The sequence below is a fragment of the Homo sapiens genome, chromosome 6, assembly GCF_000001405.40.
Source record: "Homo sapiens chromosome 6, GRCh38.p14 Primary Assembly".
In the NCBI taxonomy this organism is placed as follows: Eukaryota; Metazoa; Chordata; class Mammalia; order Primates; family Hominidae; genus Homo; species Homo sapiens.
The window spans coordinates 46,404,931-46,429,704 of NC_000006.12; the positions used below are offsets into that span (position 1 = coordinate 46,404,931).

Below are 24,774 nucleotides of genomic sequence, written 5' to 3' on the forward strand. Positions count from 1 at the left end.
TTAAACAACAGGTGAATGCAAACCATTTTGCAATAAAATATGACACTGATAAATTGCAATCTGCTAAGACTCACACTACTATCTTATAACGGGTTGGGGAAACATAGATGAAAGCGTGTCCAGAATTGGCGGGTTCTTGATCTCACCGACTTCAAGAATGAAGCCGCGGACCCTCGCGGTGAGTGTTACAGCTCTTAAGGCGGCGCATCTGGAGTCTGTCCCTTCTGATGTTCAGATGTGTTCGGAGTTTTTTCCTTCTGGTGGGTTTGTGGTCTCGCTGGGCACAGGAGTGAAGCTGCAGATCTTCACCGTGAGTGTTACAGCTCATAAAAGCAGCGTGGACCCAAAGAGCGATCAGCAGCAAGAGTTATTGCAAAGAGGGAAAGAACAAAGCTTCCACAGGGTGGAAGGGGACCCGAGCGGGTTGCCACTGCTGGCTTGGGCAGCCTGCTTTTATTCTCTTATCTGGCTCCACCCACATCCTGCTGATTGGTAGAGCCCAGTGGCCTGTTTTGTCAGGGCACTGATTGGTGCGTTTACAATCCTTGAGCTAGATATAAAGGTTCTCCACGTCCCCATCAGATTAGTTAGATACAGAGTTTCAACACACAGGTTCTCCAAGGCCCCACCAGAGCAGCTAGATACAGAGTGTCGATTGGTGCACTCACAAACCTTGAGCTAAACACAGGGTGCTGATTGGTGTATTTACAATCCCTGAGCTAGACATAAAGACTCCATGTCCCCACCAGACTCAGGAGCCCAGCTGGCTTCACCTAGTAGATCTCGCACCGGGGCTGCAGGTGGAGCTGCCTGCCAGTCCCGCACCGTGCGCTCGCACTCCTCAGCCCTTGGGTGGTCCATGGGACTGGGCGCCGTGGAGCAGGGGGTGGTGCTCCTCTGGGAGGCTCGGGCCGCACAGGAGCCCATGGAGTGGGTGGGAGGCTCAGGCATGGCAGGCTGCAGGTCCCGAGCCCTGCCCCGCGGGAAGGCAGCTAAGGCCTGGCAAGAGATCGAGCACAGCGCCGGTGGGTTGGCACTGCTGGGGGACCCAGTACACCCTCCGCAGCCACTGGCCCGGGTGCTAAGTCCCTCACTGCCCGGGGCAGCAGGGCCGGCCGGCTGCTCCGAATGCGGGGCCCGCCAAGCCCACGCCCACCCAGAACTCCAGCTGGCCCGCAAGCGCTGCGCGCAGCCCCGGTTCCTGCTCGCGCCTCTCCCTCCACACCTCCCTGCAAGCTGAGGGAGCTGGCTCTGGCCTTGGCCAGCCCAGAAAGGGGCTCTCACAGTGCAGCGGCGGGCCAAAGGGCCCCTCAAGTGCCGCCAAAGTGGGAACCCAGGCAGAGGAGGCGCCGAGAGCAAGCGAGGGCTCTGAGGAGTGCCAGCACGCTGTCACCTCTCAAAAGGGTCTCCATGCATACTCAAATTTTAAAATGTATATATATGACCTAATTTTCCCAAATAAAGTCACTCCTCCAAATCTCATTAAGTTCTGGCAGCTATTTTTTGGTCTGTTTTCATTTCTTTCTTAGGGTTCAAATGTGTTTATCAAAGCAATAAACCCTTGGTTCAGTCCTCACTGATCACTCAGCCTTCAAGGCATTAATGATTTTGATAGGAGACCAAGGACAGCTATTTGAATTTTAGGGCAATTAAAAGAAAATGTTTCTGTCAGCTCTCTTTTTTCTTAATGCTTACAAGTAACTCAGAGAGAAACAGGTTTCAATGTTCTTCTTTTAGAAAAGCCTTTGCTTTACCATAAATTGGCAGTGAACACTTTGAAAGACCCATTATGTACTTATAGAGGCTACTTCCTTGAATGGCTTGGCTATAAATTATCAGGGAACTTTCAGTGTAAACGACAGCCCTTTAATCCCTGACATTTTATATTTTATTCTCATTTCTTTATGTTACAAAAACTTAGACAGGTAGCAGATAGCTTCCCCAAGATAAAAATTACAATATTTCAGTAGAAGACTGGGTACACAATTATGTGCTGGGCGATTCAGTAACAAATACCCCCAAACTGGTCCCTCCAGACCTTTCCTGTCTGATAAGGTGACAGAGACTTCTAAAATGGACTCCAAAACCCCAAAGCAAAGTCTGAGCTCCTGGGGCATGGAACTGAGACTCTTACTGTGCCCCAGTGCCTGGAAGGCATTCAGGGGCTATTTTCCTAGTCAACTCATATCACTGAACTGTTTGGTAAAGGAGCCATAGCCTGGCAGGGGAGTAGAAAAGAGGGAGAAGCACCACAGGAGATAAAAATCAGCACACAGAAACACAACACAGGGAGAGTTCCCTTTCAGGACCTTTGGTAGAGCTAAATTTAGATGAAACCAGGTACAAAGCTAATGCAGTCAATCAAGAGCAGTATATACTGCTGTTTTTAAAAATCACATCCTTTCTATGCAGGCAGCAACCACTCATACAAAGATCTTAGCAAAAATGAAGTCTTGATTTCCCATGAAAAAGCCAGTGATGATGTAAACATTTTTAAAACAGTTGTTTTACGCAAGTCCCCATGGAAAATTCCAAGCCGACTCAGGCAAAGATCCCATCTTTAAAAGTTCACATTCAAACAGTAGTAGTAAAAGCAGAAAAATACATACTTTGGAAAAATGAAAGAGCTCGTCTTGCTATGGGCAACTGCTTTATGGAAGGAGTGCATCTTGGAGGATGAGGTGGTAAAAATATAGGTAGAGTTGAGAGAAGGGAATCCATTTCCAAATGGCTAATTGTGCATCATTTTATTTCATATACATCAATGTCCTACTTTGCAACAGGGTCAGGAAATATGTACTTAGGTGATTTTATAATTTTATATTTAACCAAGTTTGGAAACCCAAACCTTAGCCTAAAGGTGAGATTGCATAATTTTGCTATGCAGCAGACCTTTAGAAGCGTGCCTCCAAAAAGAGAAAGAGTAAAAAGAAAAAGATTGATGGAGTGCTACGTAAAAATTAAAAACTTGGCATGCCCCAAAGGATTATAAACAGAATGAGTAACTGGAAGTTCAAATGCCATCCAGCACTGAAATTGTCCATCTGGAAAACAGCAGCTTTGATTTTTCAGTCATCAGTATGTTGAGATGGATATTTACAAAATCCATGATTATTCCCTCAGGAGGGAAGCTGCTTATAAAACAACTTCTGAGGATTTTCTGGTCAGAGTCCTTCTGGAATCACGAATATTTTATGTTTTCAAGGGCGCCTCTGTCAGATACCTCAAGGAGAGAGCCTTTTAAAGTCCTTCGACAATGCTCCTATTACTTCCCTGCGGGCGGCTCCGACTGTTCAGCTCTACATAATTTTGCTCAGGTACCTGTTTACATGTTTAGAGCCATCCGATATGAGGCTAAACAGCTGTGATGACTGCAGGCTCTTTGTGGCAACCTGCTGCAGATGGTACCAGCTGGCGAGTCGCTCACACAGCAACACGGGTTCTCTTTGTCCTGCTTTGGATGCCGGGGACTAACTAGCTGAGCACTTTAGCCTGACTTCTCTATATTGCAAAAGAAGAGCTGGATGTGCTGCCCTTCACATATAGAAGATTCTCTATGTCATTGCAATATTCCCAGCATTGTTACTGTTTTCTAGTAATGGTGAAAGACAGATGCTAGGCACTGCCACTAGGACTCTTAGTGCATTGACCAAGATTTGGCTACAGATTCCTGCCACCCAAACGGAGCAAAGCTGCCAGCCCACAAAGAGAAGGAACCCAGCTCCTTGGCCTCTCTGCCTTGGTTCTCTATCTGACTGAGTTATCCAACCACCATGAATACCAGACAATAAGGAATAATAATTTAAAAAAAACTGGTTAGAGGCTTGGCAAGGAAACAAAAATTTCTATTTGTTTTGTTTTTATTTTTATTTTTCCAACAGGAGATAGTTTGGCCAAGAAAAATATCATCCTTCCATGGATGCCTGGTATCCTGTTTACTCCTACACATTGTTCTTACATGTCAGAAAATGAAGTATGAGCTAAGGAAAGGCCAGTCATTAAATAAAATGCTGGGTCTTGGGAGACATTTTAGGGTATATAAATTTCATAGAGACATATCAAACTGCAAAAACCAAATGAAGATCATTTGCCACTATCTAAGATGTGTTTTTAAATTATACTAATAAAATAGATTCCATATATACTGATTTACTTGAAGGAAAATGTTGTTTTTCCCTTAGGAGTCTTTAGGGGAAGACACAAATATTAACAATTCTGTTTAAAGAAACGAAATGGTCTAACATGATTTCTCAAGGTTCTCATTTAACCACCGAGTTCCATAGATACACTTTCTTTTGAATAAAATTGTACAGGTATATATGAAAGCAATAACTAAAAATCACATTTAGTAAGTATGGAAGGGTTATATAACCAAATCAGAAATATAATACTGAACTTATTTTTACATTATTATTCACCTTTCAAAGTTTTATTAATTCCTTCATGAACTTTAAATACCACTTAACCCATTTTGGCAGCAGTTAAATTAATGTTTTCAATTGACTTTTGTGGGATCACATTTCTAATACACAAACTATATATACATACACTAGACTCTCCATGTTCATTCCACATTGTCAAGAGAGTACAGGCCAAGAAAGGCATCTGCAGTTTGCAACCATGAAAGTACTAGATCACTTTTTCCAATATATCTTCATCTATAACAGGCTCTTAAATGCACCACTCATTCATTAGTTCATTATGTACATTATGAGCAGAGAGCCTGCTGAGTGCCAGGAACTATGCCAACATTTTACTATTTCCTCCATCATACATTCTTTTAATTCTTTTCTGTACATAAACGTTCATAAAATACTTTTGATCAAAGTTTTGATATATGAGTTTGATATGAGATATATCGTGTGATAGTTAATTTTAGGTGTTAATTTAACTGAACTAAGGGATGCCCAGATAGCTGGAAAGGCATTATTTCTTATTATGCCTGTGAGGGTGTTTCCAGAAGAGACTGGCATTTGAAATCAGTGGGCTTAGGAATATCTGCTGTCACCAACATGGGCAGGTACTATCCAATCAGCTGGAGGTCAGACAGAACAAAAGGCAAAGGAAAGGTGATTTTGTTTTCTCTCTCTCTCTCTCTCCTGGAGCAGGGACACTCTTCTTCTCCTACCCTTGGACATCAGAACTCCAGCTCTCCAGCCTTAGAATTCTGGTATTTGCACCAGTGACCCTCTAGGGTCTTTGGGCTTAGACTAAAAGTCTAGGCCTTTGGGCTTAGACTAAAAGTTATACCATTAGTTTCCCTGGTTCTGGGGCCTTCTGACTTGAACTGAGCCATGCTACTAGCATCCCAGGTTCTCCAATTTGCAGAAGGTCCATCATGGGACTTAGCCTTCATCATTGCTAAGCTAATTTCCTTAATAAATCCCCACTCATTCATCCATCTATCTACCTACCTACGTACCTTTCCTACTGGTTCCGACTTTCTGGAGAACACTGACTAACATATATCAATAATAGACCCTATTTTCAATCGTACATTTGAAGTAGATTAGGACATGGTAAAAAAAGGTAACCAGGATTGGTGAGAAAAATTCAGAGCAGGAAACAACAAGTGAAGTATTTGACATCGTCTTTCTCCACCTTCTGGCCACAAGGCAAAAAGGCATGTCTGAGAAATAATTGTTACATAACTACTGGAAACAGCTCTTAAAATGGAAATCTTTTGCCTGTTACTATTCTAATATTTACAGAATGTCTATTCTAGGCGAGGTTCCAGATTAGAAACTGGCCCATAGGAATAACCTGCAGGAAATATGCTTTTCTTATTTTGTGAAAAAAATCCCATCTTATAACAGCAAATCTTCTTTGAACTACTCAAAAACACATTAATAATATTATTTCAAAAATATTCAGTTTTAACAAGGATGATATTATATTAAGCTATCTATCAATTTCAAAGCCCTTTTATATCCATGATTATGGTTATCCTGACAACAGACTGAAAAGCCTTTTGCCATGCACCAGCATGGTGGGCAGCAGGGAAAGAACAGGCTTGGGAGGGAGGCAGGTCCAAGTTTGCCCATCAACAACCCCATTTCTTCACCATGTGACCCTTAACAAACACTTAGCCTTCAAAAGTGCTCACTTATTTCAAATATCAAATAGTGAGAGAAGAACTTACAGTTTCTGGGAAGATCATATAGAATAGCCGATAGCATATAGTATACAGAGCCCATACAGGGATGAATGGATAAGCAAAATGTGTCATATACCTATGATGGAATATTATTCAGCCTTAAGAGGAAGGAAAATCTGACACACGTTACAACATGGATGAACCCTGAAGACATTATGCTAAGTGAAATAAGTCAAACACAATGAGGCACCTAGTGTAGTCAAATTCAGAGATAGAAAACAGAATCGTGATTGACAGGGCCTGGGAGGATGGGGAGCTATTGTTCAATGGGTACAGAGTTTCAGTTTGGGAAGATGAAAAAGTTCTAGAGATGGGTGTTTATGATCATTGCACAACAACGTGAATGCAGTTAATGCCACAGAACTGTGCACTTCAAAATGGTTAAAGTGGTAAATTTTATGTTATGTATTTTTATCACAATAAATTCATTAAAAAATGGTTAGAGGCACAGGGACTAGAGAAGAAAACAGTACAGACAAAGTTCTTCTGTCATGGAGGTTTTGGGAGACAGAAAAATGAGCCAACCAACCAATAAATAAGATCAGATGTTTTATCAGATTATTGCCAAGTAGAGAACGAAAAAAAGAGAAATGTGAGAGTAAGTCCAATCTCTAAGGATGAGTCAGTGAAGCTGAGATCTGAGTTAAAAGAAGTACCTAATCTTATAAAAACTAAGAGGAAGAGTATTCCAGGAAGAAAGACCAGTTGGTTCAAGAAACAAAAAAAATTATGTGCAGAAATGTAATGGGCAAGGAGAATGGTTAGAGATAAAGTCTGAAAGATTGGCAGGTATGATCAGAGTACAGTTTGAATTTTATTCTAAGTATGATGGGAAGTGATTGGAGGGCTTTAAATAAAGAATTGACATAATCATCAGATTCGTGTTATGTAAAGGTCTCTCTGGCTGCTGTGAAGAGCCTGGATTGTAGGCAGTCCAACAGTGGAAGCAGGAATACCAGCTAGGGAGATTACTACGGAAAAGAGACAATGGTGACTTGATCTAAAATATTAGTGGTGGAGACAGGGTGAAGAAATTTGATCCAGGATTTATGAGGTAGATCTCCTGGGACTTGTATATGGATTATATATTAAGAAGAGGGAAAGGAGGAAATAATGAGTGTCTCCTAAATTTTTGGCTTGAGTCTGAGTAGGTGTTGACAGCATTTACTGAGATGTGGTGAGGAAAACGAGCTTTCTGGTGGGATATCTAGAGTCTGTTTTGTCCTTATTAAGTTTGAGAAGAAGTTCCAACTTATATGGGAATGTTCAGTAGACAAATCTGAGAGTCTGGAGTTCTGGGGTATAGTTGAGACTAGAGGTACAGATTGTGGGGGGCATCATTGGCATTGAGATGGCATTCATAGCTATGGGGCTGAATGAGATCAACTATGATGTATAAATACAAAACAGAAGGTAGCCAATAACTTCTCCAAGGGGCACTCCAAATTTAGCAGAGGAAAAACAGGAGAATAAGACACTGAAAAGAAGTAGCAATGAGGAAGGTGAAAACAGATGGCAATGTCACAAAAGTCAAGAGCTTTGAGAAGGAAGTAGTGGTCAATTTCATCAAGCGTTCTTGAGAGGTCAAGAAGGATAAGAACATAAAAATACAACTGCTGGGTCTGGCAACACGAAGGTTGTGATTGCTTTGATGAGAGCTGTCTTAGTGGAAGAGCAGGGAGGGAAGCCTGATGAGGAGGCAAGAGGAGTTGGGACTCTGAGACCAGTAGAGGGGTTGTTGGGCCTTTGCTAGGAACAGAGAGAATGATAGCTTTTGCCAGAGGAGGAAGCCAGAGGGCGTGGGTAAACCAGGATATAATAGGGCTGGTAGACTTTCTAATTCACTTAGAGCCATGTGAGGCAAGAATAAATTATAAAACAATCCCTTGGCTTTGTGTTCTTATGTTTACTCTTAATCCACTTTCTTCATATTAAAAATGATTGTCTTTAATCAAAGTTGTTGCTGTATGAAGATGCAATGAATAAGCTGGGTAGCACTGTAGATTCAACTTTTACTAAAGAAAAGCAACTTTGCTGATACCCACAGGAATTCTTAAGTAGAAAGAAAAATAGAGACTTTATTATATTTTAAATTTTCAACTAAGGAGGAGAGGGGCAGCATTTGAAACCAGAGGCAGCATTTAATGAAAGGTTCTCAGAGACAGTATGAATGAAAATAAAATAAGAGCAGAAGTGTGCATCTTTTAAAGGACAGATTACATCCTGGAAACATGAAGATAATTAGTTGGTATTTAAATCTATTAATTAGGCTAATTAAATTAGAAACGGTAGGCAGTTCTGTTGAAAGATTTCCTGCTAAGATTTTTTTTATGTGAAATTCCCTTCAGTTCTGTTATGCAGTTAAGTCCTCCTGATACTTGTGGATTAGCTCACTTGGAAGATATTGTTGAAGAAAATCATTAGGATGGAACAACAGTATAAATGCAATTGCATGTATGTGAGGTTTTTTATAAAAGAATTTTTGGGTTAAAATAAGCCTGTACGAGTATATGATCTTAGAAATATAAGATTTACTATGGGTTGATGGATCCCTTAGATCAGAGCTGGCTCCAACGGCACCAAATGGCCCTGCCTCCTGTCTTTGCTTCCTGCTGAGGATGCTGACATGTGAAGTTTCTTGGAAATGAAGTCTCTTTATGATTACAGAGTAGAGAACACAGTTTGAACCACTTCTTACTGAACTGGGGAAACCGACCCCTGACAGATTGAAAGATGAGGCTTCCTTGAATGAGAGAAGTGCTACCTAATATCGTCGGTGGGATGGAGTCAGGAATGGGACAAAGACAAAGGTTGGTGACCACTCCTTGAGTTTTCTTCTCTATTAGTTTGGCTCTTATAGCAAGACCACGGCCCCCAGCCACCCGGCTCTCAGAATAGGTAACTAAATGCTTGTGTAGATTTAGCAGAGATATGAAAGGTAGCAAGGAGGTGGGAGTAATGGGCCAATCTGTAGGGACTCTGGACATGGTGCATTAGAGACAAAATTAGAGATTAAAATGCCAATATGCTGGCCAGTGAGGAGACTGAGGTTCTGTAAATGGGACTTTAAAAATTAATTTTCTATTCTAAATATATTTAATAAGTGCCCATTTTGCATAGACTCTTATGCAGATATCATGAATTATACAAATATAAATGAGGAACAATAGCTGCCATTAGTGTAAATGGGAGATAGACAAACACAAATTGCAAAGGCCTTGTAAAGTGTGGTAAGTGCTTAAAGTTTTCAGACCAATGGCTATGGGAGTGCAAAGGTGGGAAAGTTAGAGGTAGTTAGAGAAATGACAGAGGACTTCTTAGAAGTTGGGTCATTTGAACTAGTCTTGAAAGATGGCTATGATGGTTAAGCTTATGTGTCGAACTTGGCTAGGTCACAGTGCTTAGATATTTGGTCAAACAGTATTCTGGGTGTTTTTGTGAACATATTTTTAGATGAGATTAACATTTAAGTCAGTAGACTTTGAGTGAAGCATATTACCCTCCATATGTGGGTGGACCTCATCTAATCAGTTGAAGGCCTTAATAGAGAAAAGACTAACTTCCCTGGAGAAAGAGGGAATTCTGCCAGCAGGCTGCCTCTGGACTAGAACTGCAGCTCTTCTCTAGGTCTCAAGCCTGCTGGCTTCCCTTGCAGATTTCAGGCTTACCAGCCTCTACAATCTCATGAGCCAATTCCTTAAAACAAATCTGTCTATATATGTGCACACATATATATATTCATCCTATTGGTTCTGTTTCTCTATTGAGAACTCTAATACAATTTCCCATATTTTAATTAGTAAAGAAAGAGGAGTGGACAATGGAAATAAGTGCACTGTATGGAGAAGTGAAGAGAATGTGCCTATGGATTGTGAATTCTCTAATGTGGTTGGATTGTATGGGTATCACAGGGCTCCCTAGTGGTACATAGTCCTGGAAAGGTAGACTGGGGCCAGATCATGTATGTCTTTGGTTACTGAGGCAAGGGGTTTGAGCTTTATTCTGTAGAAAGGTTTTGGAGCAGAAGAATGATATAACCATGGCTACCATTAGGAAGGTGACCCTGGCAACTGCGGAGGATAGAGTCAGGATGCCAGAGACCACTGCACTATCCACATGAGCAGAACTGAGCTGATGACGGCGGAACCAGGGCACTAGCTGTAGGAACGGATTAAGGGTATAGAATCAAGACGCTTAAAATCAGTAAGATTTGAGGATTGAATGGACAGTCTGAATCAAACATGTCTCTAAAACTTCTACAATGATTGGCTTGCAAGACGGTGACACCATAAATGAGATAAGGAAAACAGAAGGGGAAACAGGAATGAAGCTGTATGCAGGGACACAGGGTGTTAAGTTCAGCTATAGTCCCAGACCTGTGAGCATTCAGGCCTCAGTAGCACATGTGAGTGAATAGATTCAGGAGATATCCTGAGCAAAGGTGAAGTGAGAACCATTTGCATAAACAAACTATGGAGGAACAGGAGAATAGAGTTGGAGGATGTTGATATTTGAGGGCTGGGCAGAGGAAGAGGATTTAGCAAAGAAGACTAAAAAGGAGAGTTAGGAGAGGAACTAGTACCTAGCACATAGGTGGCACCCAATGACTTTTAAAAAAAAATTAATAAATAAACTAGGGTGATGCCCAGTCATAGAAGTTCAAAAAGATGAGCATGTGAAGGACAAAACAATGATTGTACATTTCAAAATAATGAATTTCATATACACTCGTTCCTCAATATCTGTGAGAGATTTGTTCCAGGATCTCCTATGAATACTAAAATCCATGGATACTTGAGTCTGTGATATAAAATGATGTAATATTTGCATATAACTACTAACAAACTCTTGGATCATTTAAATCAACTGTAGATTACTTATAATACTTAGTACAATGTAAATGCTATGTAAATTGTTGTTATGCTGTATTGTTTAGGTAATAACCGACAAGAAAAATGTCTGCATATGTTCAGTACAGACACAGTATTTTTTAATACTTTCAAATCACAATTGATTCAATCTATGGATTCAGAACCCATGGATACTGAGGGATAACTGTATATGAATTATCTCTCAATAAAGCTGTTATTTAATATGAATAAAGAATAAATCGATTAAGTAAGATTTTGTAAAAAATTAAGTGAGCTAAGGGCTAAGAAGAGGTCTTTGCAGTTGACCACTTAAGGCACCAATCACCTCTAAGCAAGCAATTCCAATAATGAAGGAATGGCAGAAATTCAATTATTGTAAGCAAAGAGTAAGAGGGTCAAAAGTGGAAGGATCTAGTATGGTACCTTCTTCCTCAATAAGTTTAACATCCTTTAAAGTTTCATTTTTAATATAAAAATAAACATTGTTATTGTAGAATATTGGAAAATAGATAGCTTTTTAAATAAGAACAAAATGAAAGTTGTCTGATTGCCTTTTTCTTTCTTTTCTTTTTTTCAGATAGTGTCTCGCTCTGTCACCCATGCTGGAGTATAGTGGCACAATCATGGCTCACTGCTCCCTCAACCTCCCAGGCTCAAGCAATCCTCCCACCTCAGCCTTCCGAGTGGCTAGGACTTGGGACTACAGACATGTACCACCATCCCCAGCTAATGTTTTTATTTTTTGTAGAGATGGGGTTTCATCATGTTGCCCAGGCTGGTCTCGAACTCCTGGGCTCAAGCGATCCGCCCACCTTGGCCTCCCAAAGGGCTGGGATTACAGGCATGAGCCACCGTGTCCTGCTCTGATTTTCTACCATACTGATAACAATGGTTAATGTTTTGATAGATATTCCAAAATTTTTTCTGTGCTTATTATAGAACTGAGATTATAAAAAACATTCAGTTTTATAATTTTTGTCCAAAAAATTCAATCTTACAGCATTTACCATTGCATAAATGTGCCATCATTTTAAACCATTCTCATATTGCTAGACTTTATTTCTTCCATACTTATTTTGCTATTTTCACTGTGATGAATATGTTTGTTCCTAAATCTTTGTCCAATATTGCTTTACTATTTCCTTCAAGTAAATGCATAGATGGAGAATACATGTGTCATAGATGGAAAATGCTATGTCAAAATTCATGGGCATTTTTATGACTCTTGCTGTATTGTCCAACAGCTTTTCAGAAAGGTACCAATTTACAATCCTTCATGAAGGATTCACTACATGTTCTCCCCTACTGAGTGTTAGCTTCATTCACTTCACATATTTGAGAGATAAAAATGATATCTCACTGTTGTTTGGATGTGCATATCTTACCTCAAAGAGCTCTCACGTAAGATTTATTCTTTAAGAGCTATAATTTGTTTCTAAGCCTCCTGATTAAAAAGTCAATAAAGAGAAACAAATTGATGAAGAAAGATTATGATAATGAACTCAGATTAAAATTTAGTTTTAAAAAACCAAGAAAGGGACATATCAATTTGGATAAAAAGCAGGACACTCTTCATTTATGATAACCAAGAACTGCAGGGAAAGAATCCCTCTATCATTCAGTTGCCATTACTCCTCTGGCCATTTTCTGAAGTCTGTTCCCCAAACAATACAGGAGCTGGGGTAAAACACTGATGTTCCAGTTTTCTCTAATTCCTTATATATAATCTTATCGACATAATCCAACATATTCAATTTCATTTGGGGGTAGTGTATTTCAGAGAAACGAACTAAAACGCTGTCTTAAGTATTTGTGTGACAGGTCTAATGCTACTACAATAAAAATAAAGCTGCCATTTCCTAAGAGCCAGGCACTGTGCCAGGTAATTTACACACACAATTAATTTTTGCAATACTTAATTGCAGAAGCTATTAGATCTATTTCACTGATGAGAAAACTGAGGCTTAGATTTGTTTATTTATTTTTACTGTGATAAGAGTCACACAGCTATTAAATGAATAATCTGAAACTTGAATCCAGCTGTCTGGTGCAAATGCCAATGTTCTCTCACAAATCCCACCTTTGTTTTGTACATCATTTGACATTAATCATATATGAGATTATTATCACTATCCTTATTTAAACTTCAAGAAAGGAAAATTATGATAATATAGTAATATAACATTATCTTAACAAAATATCTTATACTTTAGGTATCTAACGTCCATTATAAGGTCAGAGACAAACAACCTGAATTTTTAAAGCAAACACTTTAAAACTCTAAAGCCATCACTAAAAACTAAGTTATATAAATGTGCAAGTTAATCAATTAAAACGGAAATAATAAACACTTCAAATATTCCTCTCTGACCCTTCCAAAAATTCTTCCACTTCATTCAGCCCTCTAATCATTAAAGCTGCCACTTTTTCGCCATCCAGAATCAAAGTAACTTGCTCCACGTCCTCAATTCCTTACAAAATTTGGATTTCATATCCCACCCCTCCTTACAATCAGTGCCTTGTAACCACCCTTTAATGACTACGTGGATCTTTTTGTCATTCTCGTCTGACCAGTCTCAGTGTCCCCAGACCCACTGACCCACACCAGACACTCTACAGGTGGAACTAGTCATGTGCTAGGAGCCAGCTCCCATCCACTCTGGGGGAGTGGCTTAAATTTCCAGGAATTTTATCGGCTGATTGTTAAATATAATCATCTCTAAAATATGTGTGTGTGTATATATATATATATATATATATATATATATATATACAGTTGCAGGTAAATGGATTAAGACAGAAATAATAAATACTCAAAATTCAATGCTTCTTTAGAAAATAATGTGATTGGCCGGGCACAGTGGCTCATGACTGTAATCCCAGCACTTTGGGAAGCCGAGGTGGGCAGATCACAAGGTCAGGAGATCAAGACCATCCTGGCCAACATGGTGAAACCCCGTCTCTACTAAAAATATAAAAATTAGCTGGGCGTGGCGGCACACACCTGTAGTCCTAGCTACTTGGGAAGCGGAGGCTGCAGTGAGCCGAGATAGCAAAAAAAAGCCCAAAAGAAAAAAGAAAATAACATAATTTGGCTACAATCTGTGCTCTTCAGGCCGTGTGCATATATTGTAGGCATATGGTGAAAATACGACGTAATAGTGAGCTACAGTACATCTCTTCTCAACCCTACATTTAGTGATGCCATGTGGAAAGTTTGAAACCAGCCACAGCGGGAGCATTTACACCATGGAAGTCAGCAAATGCTACACATCAGGGCCTTTTAACCAATAAGCCAGTTGTAAAGCATTTAATAGTATACCACTAGATAAGGCCCAACAACCTTTTTTCAAACAGGCCTTCCAAGTGATTCTGATTCTGCTAGAGCTTGAGAACCACCGGTTTAGAAGGCCTAGTATGCTCTTCTCCCAATATTCCAACTTCTTCCTCATCCACACACAGAGTACCGGAGTTTGGAGCTTGCTTCACTTCAAAACCAATCTATCACAGCTTCAAACCACCTGATTTCATCCACGGAAGGTACATGTTAATATGAGAAAGATGACTTTCCCTGGGACCCTGTTTTAAATTTTTGCCCAAGATTTTATAAAAATAAATTGTTCTAAGCAGATTATTTGTTTATTTAATCTCAATTTAGTATTACTTCTATTTTTAAAATATAATAAAATTACAAAATATTTTTCCCCTGAAAATCATATCTCATGGAACCATGTCATCCAGACTCCATTTAGAAGTTGGCTGCTGAATAATGAAGACCAGCAGATGGCAGCAGGGACTCTTGGAAAGAAAGCCTCACGTCTTCAAACCATTTTGGCTGAGAAAGAACATAAATAAGTCAAGCACATTTCTAAATAGTTTGCTGGTTCATTTATTCTTCGTGTTGGCAAACTGCCTTTCAAAATTCAGTATAGATTATATTCTATGATTTCATAAAAACATTAACAACCAAAAAAGTCATGTAGTCTTTTTACCCAAATTGGTTCATGCCAGACAAGAGTAGACAGATCCTTTTCACTGTGTTGTCAGATTTAAAATTTCAAATTCTCGCAGACAAGACTTAAATTATTTTACTTCATTAATATTTTTAAGTATATTTAATATTATCCCTTCTACAACCAGTTTTCCTATGAAGTTAGGAGTTAAGACAGGCAGATAAACAGAGTACAGATTATAAGCCATACAACCCTCACATTAAAAAAAAAAACAAAACCTGAAAGACTAGAGCATTTAAACAAATGTTTTAGTTATCATCGTATCACTAAAATCCATGCAAGACAATTAAATTGAGTCTGATTTTAAGAATAATACAGACTACCGTGTGCAAGAGTCTTGGTTGCATCATTAAGGGGAGCTATTTGCAAGGAGTGGTTCTGTATCTATATAGCACTGACTGTTAAGAATCCATCAGGAATCTTCAGGCTCAAGAGCGGTTCAGCAACAGCAGTAATCACAGCATGAAGAAGTGATTCTCTGACTGCTGAGCAGGGTGTGGAATCAGCACTGGAAATATTGGCAAAACTGTCCTGTTATTTTTTATAATGTCATTTCAATGTCTTCTGATTAACTTTTTTTTTTTTTTTTTTGAGATGGTGTCTCACTCTGTCTCCCAGGCTGGAGTGCAATGGTGCAATCTCGGCTCACTGCAACCTCCCCTCCTGGGTTCAAGTGATTCTCCTGCCTCAGCCTCCCAAGTAGCTGGGATTACAGGTACCCACCATCAGGCCCGGCTACTTTTTTTTGTACTTTTAGTAGAGATGGGGTTTTATCATGTTGGCCAGGCTGGTCTCGAACTCTTGACCTCAGGTAATCTGCCCTCCTCGGCCCCCCAAACAGCTGGGATTACAGACATGAGCCACTGCACCCAGCCTGATCAACTATTTTTAACTGGGCACATAAAGATGCACAGACACTAGGCAGGAGTGAATCCATAATGTGTTTTTAACATCATTTATGAATCAGCACTGTGCTAGGCACTAAGGAGGCTGAGATGAACATGATGTCATCCCTGGTTACAGGAGCTCATAGACTACTGAATTCTAAATTTAGAGGATATTCAGTAAGTTCCAGTATTTATTTCACAAAGTTGTTTTGATAATGAAATGAGATAACATTTTTTAAAATTACTTCACAAACCATCCCAGCATTGAGCAAGTGCCAGTTTGCCATTATTTCTAAATAGATGAGTGACAGAATCAAACTGATATCCAAAAAAAGAGCAATGGGCAATGATGTACAAAACAGATTAAATGGGGAAAGTAAACTTAGGCAGATTAATCAGCTGGAGTCCACTGTAATAACCCAGACAGGAGGTGGCAGAGTATGAAGTGTCTGGGGCAGTGGGAACAACTGAATGAAAAAATGAAGAAAGCACGCAGATGACTTTGTGGCTGACAGCAGGACAACAGAGAGGAAAGAGACAAAAACGCCAAAAGGATGATTCAGAGAATAATGTAATAGGAAACTCAAGTGAGTGAAGTAATTTAGGGTGAAAGATAAAGAATTTGACTTTTGACATGTTAAATTTAAGATGACAGTGAAACATCAGAGTGAACAGAGCAGAAGGAAGTTGGGAGATGTCGCAACTCACAAACTCCTACTCAACTTTTAATACCCACTGCCAATGTCCTTTCTTCCAGGAAGTCTTTCCTTGATAGTCCTCAGAGGTCATTTACTCACTTCTCCAGGTTCCAAAAGCAGTTTGTTTAACATCCTAGTTTAGCATGTTATATTGGGTTGGCATTATCTAACTCTGTGTCTGTCACTTCAATGAGACTCCATTAGAACTCATTAAAAGTAGAGAAAGTCACTGATCTTTATATCCTTAGTACCAGCACAGTACATAATTCATAATAGGTACTCAATAAATGGCTAATGAATGATGAAAGTAACCAGCTGATAAAAATAAATAAATATCAAAACATAAACATCATCTGCTTAAAGGAGATAGAAAACTGTTAGTAAATATAATTTCCAAGGAAAATAATTATTTAGAAATAAGAAGTGAGCTACGTATAGGACCATAAGAATAGATGCCTTAGGGAGTGCTGCAGTTTGGTTTGTTTGACTCTTCCAAATCTCATTTGAAATCTGATCCCCAGTGTTGGAGGTGGGGCTTAATGGGAGGTGTTGGGGTCATGAGGGAGGATCCCTCACTAATAGATTAATATCCTCCCTGGGTGGTGGGGATGAGTGAGTTCTCACTGTTAGTTCCTGCGAGAGTTCTCCTGCCAGCTGGTTGTAAAAAAGAGCCTGGCACCTCCCCGGCCCAGCCCTCTCTGGCCTCCTTTCTAGCCTTGTGATCCCTGTATTCCTTCTTCTTCTGCCATGAGTGGAAGCAGCCTGAAGCCCTCACCAGAAGTGGATGCTGGCACCATGCTTCCTATACAGCCTGCAGAACAACAAATAAACCTCTTTTCTTTATCAATTATCCAACCTCAGGTATTCCTTTATAGTAACACAAATGGACTAAGACAGGGAGTAGAGAAGAAAGAGAAGCTAGTAAAAGAAAAAGAAAATAAGCCAAAGCCTCATAGAAAAGGGATGCTTTTAAAAACGAAGGAAGACATGTTCCAAACAGATTTAAAAAGCTACCAACATCAAAGTGAATGGAGATAAAGAACATACCATAGAATTTCAAAGCCAAATTTAGTTGAGAAAATTTAGGTCTATTCCACCAAGAACAAAAATAAGAGTAATGAGTAAATGTAGTTAATTTAGTGAAGAAGCCAAGGCTATGGGAACAATCCATTCTTGTTATTTATATGCTGTACAAAGGCTGCAGAAAACCAAGTTCAGGCTGGGTGCCTATCTCAAGGCAGAGAAGTTGAAAATATTAAGAGGATTAAGAAGCTAATTTTAAAACATGATGAATAACAGAAATGTTAGCACAGTACTACTGATGAGGAGGTGAAGAGAATAAACAAAGCTCTCAAGGGCATTTTTCACAAGGAGTAATGCTATGTCAAGATAACCAACTTCTTGTCAAGTATGCATTACTTTAGGACCAGACAGACTTATCTCAGACCATCCTCCTGTGACTGTCAGGCCAGAGGATCCAGAGGACCTTGGTTCCTGGGGAGGTCCAGGTGTTTCATTTGGGGTATCTAGTGCCTTGGTGAAGGAGTGGGTCTAAGCATTAGTATTAGACCATCTGGATTCCTAATTTTATTCCAGGAAGTCCTAGTATTTGTGGATTGTTTAGGTGATTCCAAGAATCAGCCTAAGAAAGGACTCTTAAGATAATTTGCCTTCTTATTTCCAAATGAGGAGACTGGGGTCCCAGGAGGCCAAGTGGCTTGTCTAAGATCACACTGTTGATTATAGCAGACCAGACCAAGTCTAAAACCCAGGACTCTAGATGGCCAATCCTATAGTGTTTGTATTTTACACTTTTCAATATTGTAGAGGATAGAACAAAGAAAAAAGCAAGAGAGAACAGAAAAGAGACAAGATGAGACCAAGCTATTTCTCCTCCTTCTTGAAGGTTGATTCTTATCCACAACTCTGGTGAGCTCTTTCCTCTTCCTTGGTATAATATGGACTTATTAGCTCGAGAATACTGACCCTTCCTCTCTGAAGTCAATACTCAGGGTTTCACCTTCGATAGACATTTTTTAAATCTACTTGTATAAATCATTAACCTGTTTCCTTATACATTTTGTAATTTAATTATGGGTACCTTATTATCTCATTGTTTTTATTGTGATCTGATTATCACATTTTAAATCCTATTGTCTTAGATAGTTACAATTTTTGCCACATCTTTGATTTCTGAGATTAGACTGAACTTCCTTTTCCAATCACTGAAGGCATAATCTGATGATGCAGTAAGAACTACATTGAGTATACCACATACCACGGTCCAGGTACTTCTCTAAACAGTCTATATTCATTAACTTACTACTTCACATAATTCAATCACATCAGCCCTCTTGTCTTCTCTATTTTACATAGAAGGAAGCTAAAGCACAAAAGGGTTAGGTAACTAACCCAAGAACACGCAGCCAATAAGTGTGGCAAAAGTGTGGTTCTCGAACCTGCGAGCTAACCACTCTGTACCACCATCCCAGCAGCCCTGCCTCTGACTCCACTGAAACCTGGTTCATCCCTTTTACTTACAAGGAAGTTTCATGAGCCCCTGACAATTTCCAATAAAATAACTGCTCGTACTTACATAGACTTATATAGAACTTAGTAAGAGCATGGCACCATTTTAAGGACTATCCAAATATTATCAATTCACTTAATTTCAAAACAATCCCACAAGGTAAGTGGGAATATTATCATCACATTCATGTTACACATGAGAAAACTGAAGCACAGAAAGCTTAAGCAACTAACCAGACATTACACAGCAAGCAAGTAGAACTGGGACTCAAATCCCAGCAGACAAACTCCAATCCTCCCATCTTAATCACTAGGGTGTCCTGCCTCTGAAGCAAAGGGCATAAAACAAGCCAGAAAGTGACCTGCCTTTGTCATGGACTCAGTTTACCAACCCATCCTCCAGTTCTTCTTCTCTGACCCTGACTTCCTTTGCATCAGATTCTGCTTGTCTGCACCTATCCCTAGAATGCACTGTTGTTTTCTTCCAAATGAGTTGACCCCTCTATACCGAACTCCTTAGATCTGTGATATCTGCCACACACCCCTACTTATCTGGCCTCAAGGAGCCAATGGAGCAGAGGCGGCAATGTGTGAGTCCTTAGGCTGCCCCTGACAGACTGTGTGACCTGGGACAAGTTACTTCACTTCCTTAAACAGAATGGAGATAATGTATCTTCCACCCAGGGATTCTGGGAATACTATAGATAATATATATAACAAGGTTAGCACATAGTAAACAGTTAAATATTTCAATGTCTTAGATTTTAATCAATGCTTTCAAATTTAAACAAATGCATATTGGGGGCGTGCTAGATACTGTTATAAGCCCTGGGCATAGAGTGGTGAACAAAGCAGTCAAAAAGCCCTTACCCTCATGGAGCTTTTGTTCTAGCCAGGAACAAATAATTGTATAATACATACCAAGTAATGATCTTGACAGAGAAAATTAGACTCCTCAGGCATGCATGTGGTCCCCTTTCTTCAACAGGCTGGATGTCAACAGCTCTTGCAAGATGATCCTGTCATCCACCAGGAGCGATCTTATTCTAGAGCAGTGGCTCTGAAACTTTGTGGTCTTAGAGATCCATTATGCTTTTAAAAATTATTGAGGACACCAAAGTTCTTTCATTTATGTGGATTATATCAGTGTGTATTTACTGTATTAAAAATTTGAGCAAAGTTTTAAAGCACAGGAATGCACAAAAGCTCATTCCATTAGTCCTCAGAGCAATGACATCACCACACATCATGCAGCCTCTAGAAAACTCCACTGTGCACCTATGTGAGAATATAAGTGAAAAAGGCAAAAACATCCTTGTACCTAAAAAGAGGTAACATTTTACCACTTTTAATATTGTGGTTAACTTCACAGATCCCTGAAAGGATCTTAGTAACCCCCAGGAATTATCAGACTATACTTTGGTAACTGTATTCTAGTGAAGATATATTTAGACTGATGTAAGAATTTTTTTAAAAAAAGATATTTTAATTTATTCTCCTATCTCTGCTGATGTCTTCTTGCTCATTTTCTACAATCAGAAGCTGAAAAAATTAAATTACAGTTTGGAACTACATAAAATGTGAACACCTATGATTAGTTCCTTGAGTTATAATTTATGTGCCTACTTACCTTAAAAAAAACAGCATATATCAAAATCTTAATTCTTGATCTTCAGAAGCTCAGCCATCCTTATGAGATAAAATTAACTTCTCAATTACAATTATACATTAAATATTTCTCAGTGGTTCACTTCGCAATAGCTTTAACTCTGGAAGTTTGTTCAGATAGAGGCTAATTACTTCTTTCTTTCTTTTTTTTTTTTTTTTTTTTGAGACAGAGTCTCACCTTGTCACCCAGGCCGGAGTGCAGTGACACAATCTTGGCTCACTGCAACCTCTGTCTCCCGGGTTCAAGCGATTCTCCTGCCTCAGCCTACTGAGTAGCTAGGACTACAGGTGCCCACCACCATGCCCAGCTAATTTTTGTAGTTTCAGTAAAGACAGGGTTTCACCATGTTGGTCAGGCTGGTCTCAAATTTCTGACCTCAGATGATCCACCCCCCTCAGCTTCCCAAAGTGCTGGGATTACAGGCATGAGCCACCATGCCCAGCTGACTGATTACTTCTTTAAAAGGTGTGTTAACATTTCCTTCCCACAGAAATTTAATTATTCTTTTATTGCTATTTTAAATGAATATTTTCGCAGAATGTTTCTAAACATAGATAAAATGATTTCACAATTGCATTTCATTATGTATAATAGACCTTCTCTAGGTTTTACTTTCAGTGTTCCTGTAATAAAATTATTATTAAAGACACAGGAATTTTTGGATAAATGTTAATTCTTTTCATCATCAAGCAGTTTTTAAAAAGACAAGCAATTTTACCGCTTTTAGTACTAATCACTTTAATTAATCTGCATGGGAAAATAGTAGGCAGCTGAACACTGTATTCCATAGATATTTTTGAATGAGAGGAACAGCTGGCTATGCAAATACATACAGGTAAATGAATGAGCCCTAAATCTTAGAATGAAAAACTAAAATGCCTTCATGATACAAAACAGATCTAGCATACAAGAAGGGGAAATAAAACATAAATTCATGGGTAAAGAAGAAGGTATTTTTTACTGAACATCTACTGTGTAAACAGATCAGGTGTTCAATAAAACTGTGCTGTGAAAAGCCCACTTATACACTTAAAAAGAGTATAACACAGAGAGAAGCATGGAGTGTTTAAGTAACTTGCTCAAGGTCACACAGCTAGCAAGTGGTAGAGATGAGATTTGAACTCTGGCAGACTTTTAGCAAGTAGAGGATAGGGTTTAAGTAGCAAACCTGTATGTGAATCCTTTTACTAACTTATTAAATATGTGACCTCAAGAAAGTTACTTTGCTTCTCTAAATAGAAGGCAGATAACAATGATCCTCCCTCCTAGGGTCATTGGGAATAATATGGAAGAAAGAGTCTTATTAGGAGGGTAAGAGAGGGGTCTATATTATCAGGATAGTTTTCTGCATCTCTGAAATAATTTTAAATGTTTTGAATAACTGGAATTTAGAATGACCCATGTAAAACAAAATTTTAGGAAAATTATATGAATCCTTATAAAAACTATACAGTTAATACCTTAAAAACCACATTATCATCTCTTACTTTGTTCACTTAGTGTGCCATAGGAACTGTTATTTATTCTTCTCAGCAGTCCAGCTTACTGGTTACATGCATGGGCTTTAGAAACAGACCTTTTAGGCCCACATCCCTAGTTGACCTTGGATTAGTTAGTTACTGACCTTCAATTTCCTCATCAGTAAATGGATGTAAGTATTAGTACCTTTCCCATTGCATAGTTATTAAAGTTAAATAAGATTATACATGTAAAATAATTAAAATCATGCCAGGAATATAGTGTTCAGAACTCAACAAATTTAGCAACTATCTTTCATCTAATTGTTTCTCAAGGGCTTGGGGCATAACAAGACTGGGTAAAATGTGTATTGAGTAAATAAATAATGACATACCTATCAGATTAATACACTAATGAACATTCTCATTGCTTTCTGACATCCTGCTCTCTTAACCCGGATTCTGAGTCACATGACCTCGCATGCAATATAGCTGTATTGACATACAACCATCAGAGGGCTTTGCATTTTCAAAAGAAACGAGAGAAACCAACAGATAGACAATTCAAACTTTCAAGCAATCCAAGCGTAAGTTTATGGCAGACATTGTCTGTTGATTCCACATAAGTGATTTCTTTCTTCTCCCTTGATGAGAGCCTTGATTTACTAAGGACCACGTTTCAGCTACAGGATGAATCTGTTATGGCTAAGCTAGGACCACATTTCAGCTACAGGATGAATCTGTTAGGGCTAAGCTAGGACCACAATTCAGCTACAGGATGAATCTGTGAGGGCTAAGCTAGGACCACAATTCAGCTACAGGGTGAATCTGTGAGGGCTAAGCTAGGACCACAATTCAGCTACAGGATGAATCTGTTAGGGCTAAGCTAGGACCACATTTCAGCTACAGGATGAATCTGTTAGGGCTAAGCTAGGCCTGGTTGTCCTATTCCTCTCAGATAGATGCTTGTTTTTCCAGGCTCTTTTGCATCTAAGGGTACCAGCCAATGAGAGGTAAGTGAAGATTCACTGGGGCTAGGGAGTACTCGTTCTGCCAAATATTTTTACTCCCTGATCAAAGAATATAAGAATGATGCCAAAAAAAAAGTCCCTCACCACAGCAGCGTCACCTTGTAGTATTTATTCCCACTGAAAATCACATTATGTATTTTTTTATGTGTTCATCATTTCTCTCCATGAGATGATATGCACCATGAGTAATGGTATAGTTTATGCATTATTCATGGTACTTTGAACAGTAAACATAGTTGGAACTCAATAAATATCTGCTAAATGAATAAATAAATGATCTGACTGGGATTTTCTTTGGAGCAATGGCTTAGAATTTCCAGAGAAGAATCTCCAGTCTCTGACCTGGAAAGTAATCATCATGCTTTGGATATTCAGGGCCCAGGACAGAGGAGCATGGCTAAATTTTCACTATATCTCTGTCTTTCCAACCATGAAGCTCACCTTCCTGTACCTTCTCTTCCCTGTACCTGATGTCCCAGAACTCTCAGAACTTTTGAGGGCTTGTTTTTTTAATATATTCTCCCTCATGGAGGCAATTTAGCTGAAAGCTCCTTCCACTCTGCTAAATTAGTTGCCATTCCTCCATCTGCTTTCTTCTCAAAATGTGTTAAAATCTCTTGACAGGTGATATCTTCTCTCTATTCTCTTCTACCATGGTTTATACCTTGTTATATTTTTACTTTTAGGAATGAGAGTAAATTCATATGGCCAATGTGTCATATCTAAAACAGGAATGTAAATATGTAGAAGGTAAAAGGTAGATGACCTCAGCCTCAGAGATAATATCAGGTAATCAATTAAGCAAGAGCTTATGATATTAATCACATGTATAATTGTTTTAAAAGATAAACCACAGTGTAAGTAGTAGGGGCAAAAGGGGTGATCCAGGAGTCCTTTACAGAAATGCACCTAAAGTATAGAAACCAGAGTCCTTCACAGAAATGCACCTAAAGCATCCCACTTAATATAGGGGAACACAGTATGCTAGATATAAATGAATAGAATTGTATAAACACTTTTACAGGGTGTACTCTGAACTTGCCACTTTAGAGGCAGCTTTGCACAACAGAGGCATTTTAACTCGAAGCCAAAAGATACGGGTTCCAGTCCCACCTATGATAGATCTATGTGAATATCAGCAAATTACTACAGAACTCTGCATCTTTTACCTTGCACATTTGCTGTAAGGGTCAAATAACTCACAAACTTCTTGGTAGACTGCAGAGTACTCTTCAGTTTTCTTGGTTATTACACTGAAGAAGGAAAATATTATCTTGAGAGTTATCAACGTTTTAATTTCTGAGAGAAATAGGTTCCATATGAAACGTCTCTATCAGTACAAGCAGAATCTGAAGGAATCCCTAAAAGGTATTGTATTCATTTTTTTTCAACAAATTATATGCCAGGCACTGTGCCAGGTGCTAGAGAATGGTCATTAGGGCAGGTACGTTCTTGCCCTTAT

At 39.1% G+C, this 24,774-nt stretch overlaps 1 protein-coding gene across 4 annotated transcripts in view, besides 1 other annotated feature; it reads right to left on the reverse strand.

Annotated features, from left to right (window-relative positions):
- RCAN2 (regulator of calcineurin 2) overlaps positions 1–24,774 on the reverse strand; it is a 271,235-nt gene that overhangs the window by 184,195 nt on the left and 62,266 nt on the right. The window lies entirely within an intron of this gene.
- Positions 525–1,025: an enhancer, noted in NCBI's record as "H3K27ac-H3K4me1 hESC enhancer chr6:46373192-46373692 (GRCh37/hg19 assembly coordinates)". NCBI's record gives its function as "activates a minimal SCP1, AML or CMV promoter by ChIP-STARR-seq in primed H9 embryonic stem cells {active_cell/tissue: H9 hESC(primed)}" and the evidence as "EXISTENCE:reporter gene assay evidence [ECO:0000049][PMID:30033119]".